Genomic DNA, 10,958 nt, shown 5'->3' on the forward strand with positions numbered 1-10,958 from the left:
CTACACCCCTAAAATTAACATGATTTCTAGAAAACAACTATCCCCAACTGAGCTTCATTAGGTCGGAAAAAAAAAAAAGACCCTCTTATTCAGATAACCTGCTACAATATTTTAAAACTGATTATTGCCATTATAGAAAAAAGCTGGCTGGGGCACAGTGGCTCACGCCTGTAATCCCAGCGCTTTGGGAGGCCAAGACGGGTGGATCATGAGGTCAGGAGATCGAGACCAGCCTGACCAGCATGGTGAAACCCCATCTCTACTAAAAATACAAAAATTAGCCAGGCATGGTGGTGCGCACCTGTAATCCCAGCTACTCAGGAGGCTGAGGCAGGAGAATCGCTTGAACCCAGGAGGCAGAGGTTGCAGTGAGCCGAGATCGTGCCATTGCAAAAAAAAAAGAAGAAGAAGAAAGCTTTAAATTTTTATTATTTTGTATCTGACATCTTACTAAACTTTTTTTTTTAAGAGACAGGGTCTCTTCCTGCAGTGTAAAAAAAAAATTAATTAAAAAAAAAATAGAGACAGTCTTGCTCTGTGACCCAGGCTGGTCTCCAACTCCTGGCCTCAAGTGATCCTCCCACCTCAACCTCCTGAATAATATGCACCACCATGCCCAGCTAACTTCTTTTCATTTTTATAGAGATGGGGTCTCACCGTGTTGCCCAGGCTGGCCTCTAACTCCTGGCCTCAAATGATCCTCTCACCTGGGCCTCCCAAAGTGCTGGGATTACAGGCATGAGCCACCAGGCCTGGCCTAAACTTTTCATTTGCTATAATTAATTGTTTTTAGTTACTTTCATTGAGTTTTCTAGTTATAAAATTGTGTCTCTGGCACATGATGACAGTTTTCCCATAAATTTTGAAATTGTGTTTTTTGTCTTATCACATCAGCTGTGATGTGTGTTCTTTGCTGTGATTAAATGTGTTAAGCTTTTGAGCGGCTATAGGGGAAGAAGATGTATTGGCAAGGAAAGAGGCTAGTGACTAAGTAGCTAAAAAAAAAAAAAAAACTATGGTAGTAGTTTGAGTGTGGATTGATGGGACAAGGCCTGGCCCAGGATCATGGCTGCAAAGGAAGAACTACAGAGAAGAGAAATTCTAGATGATGAATCAGCAATGAGGGCAGGAAATTGAACACAACTCCAGGTTGGCACATCTGAAACCCAGTGGTCTACCTGAGCAACCAGGAATAGTAGGCATCCTGGTGGGCTCCCAGCACCCATTTCACCTGCCTCTGGTACCACAGTGATTCTTTCAGTGATGGGCACTTTATGCAGAACTAAGGCCTGGCATTCCCCCCGCTCCTGACCCAAGTTAGACCCATCAGAAGTGCAGCTCAGGAATTGTGCTGAATTTTTGGCCAAGGAGAAGCCTCTCTCTCTCTCCCAGGATTTAGAGGGAAAAGCCTAGGAGAAGCAAGCCTGAGCCTGAGTAACAAACTCTGGATCAAATCCCCTTTGAAGTTCGTCTTACCTATTGATATGGTTTGGCCGTGTCCCCACCCAAAACTTTTTTTTTTTTTTTTTTTTTTTGAGACAGAGTTTCCCTCTTATTGTCCAGGCTGGAGTGCAATGGCATAATCTCAGCTCACTACAACCTCTGCCTCCCTGGTTCAGGTGATTCTCCTGCCTCAGCCCCCCAAGTAGCTGGGATTACAGGCATACGCCACCACACCTGGCTAATTTTTGTATTTTTAATAGAGGTGGCATTTCACCATGGTGGCCAGGCTGGTCTTGAACTCCTGACCTCAAGTGATCCACCCACCTCAGCCTCCCAAAGTGCTGGGATTACAGGCGTGAGCTACCACGCCCGGCTCTTCTTTTTTTTTTTTTTTTTTGAGACAGAGTGTCACTCTGTCACCCAGGCTGGAGTGCAAAGGCATGATCTCAGCTCACTGCAACCTCTGCCTCCCAGGTTCACACAATTATCCCGCCTCAGCCTCCCGAGTAGCTGGGACTACAGGCATGTGCCACCACACCTGGCTAATTTTTTTGTATTTTTAGTAGAGACGGGGTTTCACTATGTTGGCCAGGCTGGTCTCGAATTCCTGACCTCGTAATTCACCCGCCTCAGCCTCCCAAAGTGCTGGGATTACAGGCGTGAGCCACCGCGCCCCGCCTCCAAAATTCGTTTCTAATTGTAATCCCTGTGTGTCAATTACGAACTGGTGGGAGGTGATTGGATTACAGGGGTGGTTTCCCCCATGCTGTTCTCATGATAGTGAGGGAGTTCTCACCAGATCTGATGGTTTAAAAGTGGCAGTTTCCCCTGCTCATTCTCTCTCTCACTCTGTCTCCCACTCTCCCACTCTCCCAGTCTCCCCATCTCTCTCCCTCTCTCCCCCTTGATCCCTCCCACTCTCTCTCCCTCTGCCTCTCCTTCTCTTTACCTCCCTGTCTCTCTCCCTCTCTCTCTCCCTCCCCTCTTCCCTCTCTCCTCTCTCTCTCTCCTTCCCCCTCCTGCCATCTTGTGAAAAGGGTACTTGCTTCTCCTTCACCTTCCGCCATGATTGTAAGTCTCCTGAGGCCTCCCCAGCCATGCAGAACTGTAAGTCAATTAAACCTCTTTTGTTTATAAATTACCCAGTCTCAGGTAGTATCTTTACAGCAGTGTGAAAAAAGACTAATACACCCCCAGACTTCCAAATCACACGGACCACACATTCCTTTTACTGGTTAATCCAAGTTGCAGTGGATCTCCTGTTCCTTTCCCTGTAAGGAGTCCCAACTGATACACTGGGATTGGCAATATTTTTAACAGATACTATAATTCTCTTACAATGTATTCATCTGAAAAGAGGTGTGAAGGAGAAAAGTAATTAGAATTCTCAGTTTATAAACATTTCCTAAAATGTGAATTCAAGAGAAAAATTAGCAGATATTTTAATTGTCTGTTCTATCTCCACATTCTCACACTTAATCTACCTACTCTCTAAATGTATTAATTAACATTTTCATAAACACTCTTCCAGCTTACAACGCAACTTCACACATCTCGACTCACTTGGTTCCCATAACAAACAGGAGAGATGGGCGGTAACAGTGAGCCCTCATTTTGTGCAGTATGCTAGTTTGTAAGACCCTTTCTCTTACGTGATTTCATGTGATACTCGAATGTCAAGCTCTTGCAAGTTCTGGACTCCAGAAAAACTGATGTAGTTGTTCTCTTGGCCCACAGAGAACTGTTTTGAATTTCTGTGTCTTCACTGGTATCACTCGGTCAATACTGTTCTTCCTGACCTTGTTCACCAGGTGAATTCCCTATTCGTACTTAAAAGCCCATTTCAGACAGGGCACAACTGTGTCTCTTTCCCCAGGGAGGTGTGGGCAGGCAGTGAGGTCTTCAAGAAGTGTTTTGCCTTTGCCAGATGTCAAGGTCAGCCAGCCAGCTGTACAGATAAATGGTCGGGGGGGAAGGGGGGCTTTGGCCAACTTTTTGTGGTCTGGAATAAACAAAATCCATCATCAAACGAAAAACACCAGCTACTCCACCAGCCCCCTGGCCACAAGAACCTACTTCAAGCTTAGCCAGATTCACTCTTTGTTGTATGAAGGGAGAAGGGTCAGTGCCAGCCTTGGCCTTCGGCCATCCATATTAGTTTTGTGCTACTGGCCCTTGGGCCAACCCAGACAGTCTGTAGGCCTTCAAACAGGCCTCAAAGAGAGGAACTCAGACAGGTTCTCAGATTGCTCTCAGAGAGACCATCACCTGGGTTGTCTGACACACCTTGGATGGACTTTGACAGGAATGGATCGGCACAGACCTGAATTAGGAAGCCCTTCTTCCTCTGACCATAGATGTTCCCTCAAAGACACCCTCCTGAGTGACACACACCCCGAGGGAGTCGAAGCAGAGCAGGAGTTCCATTAGTACTGGCACCCACTGGCCATGCCCCTGCTGGAGGTCAGCCCGGGGCCCACAGTCTGCACGACTCTGGGAGTGTATTTTCAGGTCTGAAGGCCTGACTGGGGAGGACTAAGGATGCTGGCGGTGGCCATGGCAACCAGCTCAATCTCCTGACATTGGGCAGGTGATGCCCTTGGCCTCCTCCATCTTTTTGCCACTCTGGGGGTTCCTGTAACCAGAGTGGTCCTTCCCATAGAATGAAAGGTCAGAGGACAGAAAGGGTGGGGAGAACGCTGCCCCACTGGGGGACAGAAAGGGCCAGTGTGGGAAGGAAAGAGATGGAGGGAACAAAAGAGGTGGCCTGAGCCCTTTGCCCCGAAGCTGGGAGGCCTGTATTCCTGGGAGGCTCCTGGGGCTGGCGGGAGTCCTAGGGGGCTGTGGCACCATATCCCTCCCTATATTTATGGGATCTAGTTGTCACTGCCAGTCTGAAATCTCCTTCCTATATCCTTAGCACAGTTGGGTCTATATTGGGGGGCTGCTGATGTTGCCACAACTGAACCCCTCCACTTTCCCAACCTGCTCCTCCTCCAGGCTCTCCAGCTCAGAGAAAGGCCCCACCATCATCCCTGCCTTCCCTCCCCACCCCCAGCAGCCACAGTTCACCTTAACCAACCAGCCTGAAGTACTCAGCTCAGCCTGCAGGGATGCCAGCACACCTGGCGGGACTCTCCTTTCCCTCCCACCAGCCTCCAGAGTCAGTGTCCCTGAAGCCACCTGGAATCACATCACCTTGCTCTGAGCCTGCAGCAAGTCCCCATTGCCCTGAGATGAAGTCAAAGCAACCTGCCACTCTTCACAAGCCAGCCCCGACTGGTCTCTCCAGACTCATCTTCTTACCCCTACTTCCTTCCAGGCCAGATTCAGCCACCTCAATTTCTCAGCTCCCTCCCCACCCCGCCCTTGCCCGGACTGCCTCTTCTCCAGCCCTGTTCACTCTGCCCTTGCCAGTTCCACAGAGCCATTCTCTCCCTGCAGCGCCACCCAGGCATGCCCCTGCTCCTCAGATCTCCTGTGGTATCTTCACCATTTCTACCCCAAACACACCCTATGCCGGGTGACACCCACCCTGAGGGAGTCACAGCAGAGCAGGATTTCCATTAGTATTGTTTGCCGGAATGAAGTCATTCATCCAGGTATCCAGCATCTATGCAGCACTTGCCACACTCCTGGTGCGGTCTGGGCCCTGGGGCATAGCCATGATGAAGATGAGGCCCTCGTGAGTAGGACTCAGATTGCGTCAGAGGATAACTATCCGAATGAATGCTGGCCCTGGCAGAGGCCTTAGCTACTTCCTAATGCTTCTCCAGACAACAGTGTCCAGGACCCCAGGGCTCCAAGGCAGCCTCCCCCGCCCCTCCACATTCTCAGCCCCCACTATCGCCTGCCATCTGAATGTGCAAGGTAGATGTGCACACCAACCCCTGGGCATGGGTCCTGGGGGTAGAGCTGGGTGGGGAGCTGAGGCTGGCATCCCTGTATGTGCTAGTGCCCGACCTGGGTGCACACAGCTGCCAGGGAGTGGGGGGAGCCTCCACAACTGCCTCACCCGCGCACCTCCCCAGCCTCTGCTGGAACTGCTCCTGGCTCCTGGCGCACCGCGCTCCTGTTGTTTAGTTTTTCTGAACACCGAGTCTCAACCCCATGTTAATTGGTTTTACTCCACTCTTTTGTGCCACCCATTAAATGAGGAAATGCCACCCATAAAATTTTAATTTTAAAAGCCAACTTGTTTGTTTTATATTGAAATTCCCCGGGCAGCTCCAGCAGAGGGAAACAGACACATTTTCGTTTCATTAAAGCAACTTGAATGAAGATGAAAAAGAAGCTGAAAAATTAGATTTAAAAACAGAGAGTGAGAAGCATTTAAAGAAAATGAATGAAAGTGAGCTGCCACAGAAGGCGGTGGGGACCACAGCTCCATCTCTGCCTTCCCAGAGCCTCCTGCAGGGAGACAGTGGAGCAGAAGTGGGAAGCTGGGAGTGGAAGGGGACACTCTGGGTGCCCCCAGAAGGCTGGACCATGCACTCTCCTCTCACTAAAGCTGGCCCCCTGGATATCCTAGAGGAAGGAGGGTAGAGCATCCTGGACCCTGGGACCAGAAGCATCCTTCCTCCCTGGGGACAAACTGCATGGCGATGAGGCTTGCTGGCTTGGAAGCTGAGCCGTCTGGATGGTCCTGGCTCTGCCACTTACCAGCTCTGTCAAGGTGGGCAAGTGGCCTGTTTTGCTCTTCGTAGTGATGATCTGTAAAACAACCCAGCTTATAGGGTTGGTATGAAGATTAAATAGAATAGTACCTTGAAAACACTTTAAATAGAGCCCGGTATGCAGTAGGTCCATAACAAATGTTAACTTTGACTAATGACATCCGGCTGCCTCCCTTCCATTGCATACTCCTTACACATTGCCCCTGCTGAGTGCACCTCCCTCCTTCCCTTGCCCACACATCCCCCTCCCCCATACCCGCCACCCACTTCCTTTTTTTAGGAGGCAGGGTTTAGCTCTGTCACCCAGGCCGGAGTGCAGTGGCACAATCAAAGCTGACTGCAACCTCGACCTCCTGGCCTCAAGGGATTCTCCCACCTCAGCACCCCTCCCCAAGTAGCTGGGATCACAGGCATATGCCACCATGCCCAGCTAGTTTTTTTTGTTTTTTTGTAGAGACAAGGTCTCGTTATGTTGCCCAGGCTGGTCTAGAACTCCCAGGCTCAAGCAATCCTCCCACCTCAGCCTCCCAAAGTGCTGGGATTACAGGTGTGAGCCACCTCTCCGGCCTTTTTGGGTTTTTGTTTTGTTTTGTGTTTTGTTTGGTTTTGACGGAGTCTCCCTCTATCACTCAGGCTGGAGTGTCATGGCTCACTACAGCCTCAAACTCCTGGGCTCAAGCAATTCTCCCACTTCAGCCTCCTGAGTAGCTGAGACTATAGGCACGTGCCAACACGCCCAGGTAATTTTTAAATATTTTTGTGGAGACAGGTTCTTTCTCTGTCGCCTAGGCTGGAGTGCAGTGGCACGATTCCGGCTCACTTCAACCTCTGCCTCCCAGACTCAGGTGATCCTCCCACCTTAGCCTCCAAAGTAGTAGCTGGGACCACAGGCTCGCGCCACCACGCCTGGCTAATTTTTAAAATTTTTTTTAGTAGAGAAAGGATTTCACCTTGTTGCCCAAGCTGCAAAGTTCCTTTTAATGATGTCCCTGAGCTGAAGACAGCTACAAGAGACTGCGGACGGTCTGATGAAAGGCTTGGGAAGCCTCATTCCTTCGCAATTCAATTCTTGTGGGCCAAACCAATTAAAATGTTCGTATAATCCTTCCAAGGAAAGCCAGCCTCCCTGGGTTCAAATCCCAGCTCTACCACTCACCACCTGTGTGTTCTTGGGCCAGTTTCTTCTGGGCCTCAGTGTCTCTATCAATAAAATGAGACTCACAGCTGTCATGAAGGTCACAAAAAACAAGCTCTGTGGAGTGCTGGGCAGGTAACCGGCCAGTGAGTGGCGGCTTTTACTTTCAGCATCAGTTGGAGACACAGCAGCAGGAGAGGGTGTGGGGGTCTGAAGCTGCGGAGGGGGAGGGCAGGGCAGGGGTTCCATCACAGAATGACCTCGTGGGGGTTCTCAGCTATTGCCCTAGGGTAACTTTTTTTTTTTTTTTTTTTGAGATGGAATCTCGCTCTGTTGCCCAGGCTGGAGTGCAGTGGCACGATCTTGGCTCACCACAACCTCTGCCTCCCGGATTCAAGCGATTCTCCTGCCTCAGCCTCCTGAGTAGCTGGGACTACAGGTGCACACCACGATGCCAGCTTTTTTTCTTGTCACCCAGGCTGGAGTGCAGTGGCACCATCTTGGCTCACTGCAACCTCTGCCTCCTGGGTTTAAGCGATTCTCCTGCCTCAGCCTCCCGAGTAGCTGGGATTACAGGCACCCGCCACCACATCAGGCTAATTTTTTGGTAGAGATGGGGTTTCATCATGTTGGCCAGGCTGGTCTCAAACTCCTGACCTCAGGTGATCCACCCGCCTCGGCCTCCCAAAGTGCAGGGATTACAGGCGTGAGCCACCAGCCTAATTTTTGTATTTTTAGTAGAGATGGGGTTTCACTATGTTGGCCAGGCTGGTCTCGAACTGCTGACCTCTGGATCCACCTGCCTCAGCCTCCCAAAGTGCTGGGATTACAGGCGTGAGCCTCCGCGCCCGGCCGCCCTAGGGTAACTTTTAATGACACTCCCTTTCATTCCCAAACGTATCCTAATCTGGATGACTAATTATATGGTCATCCTACTCCAAATCCCCCACGCCCAAGATGGGGCCTGGGAGCTGGCCCATGGTGTTGGGAAAGGGTTCTACTCCTGACCTGTTTTCCTTTCCAGACCCTTGGGATTGCCTAAGCCCTGGGTCCCAGCCCCAGCCCTAGCCCACTCTCAGGCCAAGGAAACTCATTCCCTCAATTAGCATTATAAAGCGGCAGGGAGGGGAAAGGCCTCGAAGGCGGGTGCCCGGAAGGTGCTGGGAATGGGAGTCTGTTGGGATTCCGGGCCTTACCTCTGATCCTGACGGCAATTCCTCATATCCTTAACTTCCTCTTTCCTGCAGGGAAATTATTAACAGTACTATCTCTGATTTGCAAAGATCAAATCACACAAGGACTGGCGGTGAAAGTGTTGTGTGGTCCGATGAGTGGCATTAGGAGGGCAGTGACTTCTGCTTCGGCCACCAAGGCAGAATTCCCAGATCCTGTTTCTCCGGTGATTGTGGGGGAGACAGAGATGGAGCATAAAGGGTCACAAAGGGTCCACAGATGGCTGGGGGTGAGGTGTCTACCCAGTGCCTCGGCCTATAGAAGTCTTCTCACTCACAGCCCCTAGCCCACTTCCACCAGGCCCGGAAGGACACCTCCAATGCCTGTCCAGGGCCCCCTGGCCCTGCTCAGAGATGCCTCCTCCAGGCAGAGGCAGCTGCTACCCTCAAGCTCCAGGTGACTGCTGCCAGGCTCAGAAGCTACTCAGGGTAGGTGGTGAGCCCGCTGCCTCCAGGGCTGCTTCTCAGAAAAGCTCAGAGAAGACATCTTAGCGGCTAAGTGGCACTCATTTTATTTGAGGCAGAATTCTTGTCCGGTGGTCCCCAAACTGCACACCTAGGAACCCCAAGAGCTTAATGACAGATGAGAGTTCTGAGGGAGTGGGACCAAGTGGGCAGGACTCCAGGGGCATTGAAGGGCTTCCTCCTCTCCTCTCCCCTCCCCTCCCCTCATCTCTCCCCTCCCCTCCCCTCTCCTCTTCCCTCCCCTGTCCTCTCTCTCCCCTCTCCCTCTCCTCTCTGCTGTCTGTCCTTTCCCATTCTCTTCTCTTTCTCCCTCTCTTTCACTCTTTCTTCAACCAGAGCAGCTCCATTTAGTATTCTGTCCAAAATTTTTCTCGCACAAAAATGTCCACAGTTAAAATAATTTTTCAAAAACAGAGTTCTGTTCCTCCTCTCTCCTTTCCTTCCTCAACAATTCAGTCCTAAAACTATTATGTGCAGCAGAGCAAGGGAATGGGGGAACCATGGATGAACACAGCAGGATTCCTAGCAGAGTGAGGAGGGGGACCACTGGGGAAGGCAGGCTGGCCCAGGGGTGTCAGAGTACAAATCAGTGAGGGGCTGTCACCCCTATGGGGTCAGCCTGATATGGGTGTCAGAGCCCAGGCAGACAAAGCAAGGCAGCCATGCAGGGGATGGTTCCAGTGTGGGAAGCCAGAGCCAGCCAGAAGTGGGGTGTCAGAGCCTACAGCTGAGTTAGGAGGGTGTCTCAATGGGGGAAAGGGGTAGCCCTGTGCAGAAAGTCAGAGTGCCCAGGTCACCCATCCATCAAGACTTGGGGCTCTGCCTCCCCTACGTCTGCCCCAATCCTTTCTAAAGCCAGGCTTAGCTGGACCAAGGAAGACCCTGGGCCTCTTCTCAGTTGAAGCCACTGAGCACCAGGACATGCCAGGCAAGATTAGATGTGCCAGGTGCTGGAGTTAGAGCCAGGCTGGAGCAAGACAGTCAGGTCTCAGCCGGTGTGGAGCCCACAGTCCAGCAGGGAGGATGGACACAGAGGCTGCCATCACAGAACATGAGCTCAGCAGCAGGACGGGAGCTCGTGGAGGGCAAGCAACGTGACCTTGCACAGGGACCAGGCAGTGTCCGCAGAGGAGGCAAGCCAATGAGTCAGGAAGATGAGTTTACCAGGCGGGGGAGGATGGGGGTGGCAATGCCTCTGGGCCTCAGTCTCTCCCCCTGCCCGTCCTCACCATCCCATCCACAAAAGTCCCAGCCACCAGGAGCCTCTCAAGAGGCCTTTCCATCCTGAGACCCCCATAGACTACAACCTAGTCCCAGGCCCCTCCAGATGGACAGTGTTGAGGGCCATCTCACCCGCCTGGCCTGGACCCCACCTCACTGGAGGCTGCCCTCAGTGGGAAGGTTCCTTTGCTCCCCTTTCTGAGGTCTGACATCCCCCATCATTGAGAAGTCCCGCCTTGTGTTTAACTCACATCTCTCTTGCTTTCTCTAATCTTCAGAGAAATGGCTAACTGAAGGCCTTTCACCAATTACAGGGAAACGCTGATAAAACCGGTCCCAGGAGGGCAGTGGGTTGGAGCTGCCCCAAAACTTTACCTTCAGGCTGAAGCTTCCTACCTTCTTTTTTTTTTTTTTTTTTTTTTTGAGATGGAGTCTTGCTCAGTAGCCCAGGCTGAAGTGCGGTGGCGCGATCTCGGCTCACTGCAAGCTCCGCCTCCCAGATTCACGCCATTCTCCTGCCTCAGCCTCCCTAGTAGCTGGGACTACAGGAGCCCGCCACCATACCTGGCTAACTTTTTGTATTTTTAGTAGAGACGGGGTTTCACCATGTTAGCCAGGATGGTCTCGATCTCCTGACCTCGTGATCCACCTGCCTTGGCCTCCCAAAGTGCTGGGATTACAGACGTGAGCCACCGTGCCCAGCTCCTACCTTCATTTTTTCATCTGCAAACACTGACCTGTGGGGTCCCTCTGATCTTCCCACACCCAGGTGAGAGCCCACACACA

General features: G+C 51.5%; 3 annotated features.

Annotated features, from left to right (window-relative positions):
- Nucleotides 7,569–8,768: an enhancer, noted in NCBI's record as "P300/CBP strongly-dependent group 1 enhancer chr1:37916959-37918158 (GRCh37/hg19 assembly coordinates)". NCBI's record gives its function as "activates an origin of replication core promoter dependent on BRD2, BRD4, P300/CBP, MED14 and CDK7 cofactors, with strong dependence on P300/CBP, by STARR-seq in HCT116 cells {active_cell/tissue: HCT116}" and the evidence as "EXISTENCE:reporter gene assay evidence [ECO:0000049][PMID:35650434]".
- Nucleotides 7,569–8,961: a biological region, named in NCBI's record as "P300/CBP strongly-dependent group 1 enhancer GRCh37_chr1:37916959-37918158".
- Nucleotides 8,171–8,961: an enhancer, noted in NCBI's record as "H3K27ac-H3K4me1 hESC enhancer chr1:37917561-37918351 (GRCh37/hg19 assembly coordinates)". NCBI's record gives its function as "activates a minimal SCP1, AML or CMV promoter by ChIP-STARR-seq in naive H9 embryonic stem cells {active_cell/tissue: H9 hESC(naive)}" and the evidence as "EXISTENCE:reporter gene assay evidence [ECO:0000049][PMID:30033119]".

The sequence above is a fragment of the Homo sapiens genome, chromosome 1 (genome assembly GCF_000001405.40).
Source record: "Homo sapiens chromosome 1, GRCh38.p14 Primary Assembly".
NCBI lineage: Eukaryota > Metazoa > Chordata > Mammalia > Primates > Hominidae > Homo > Homo sapiens.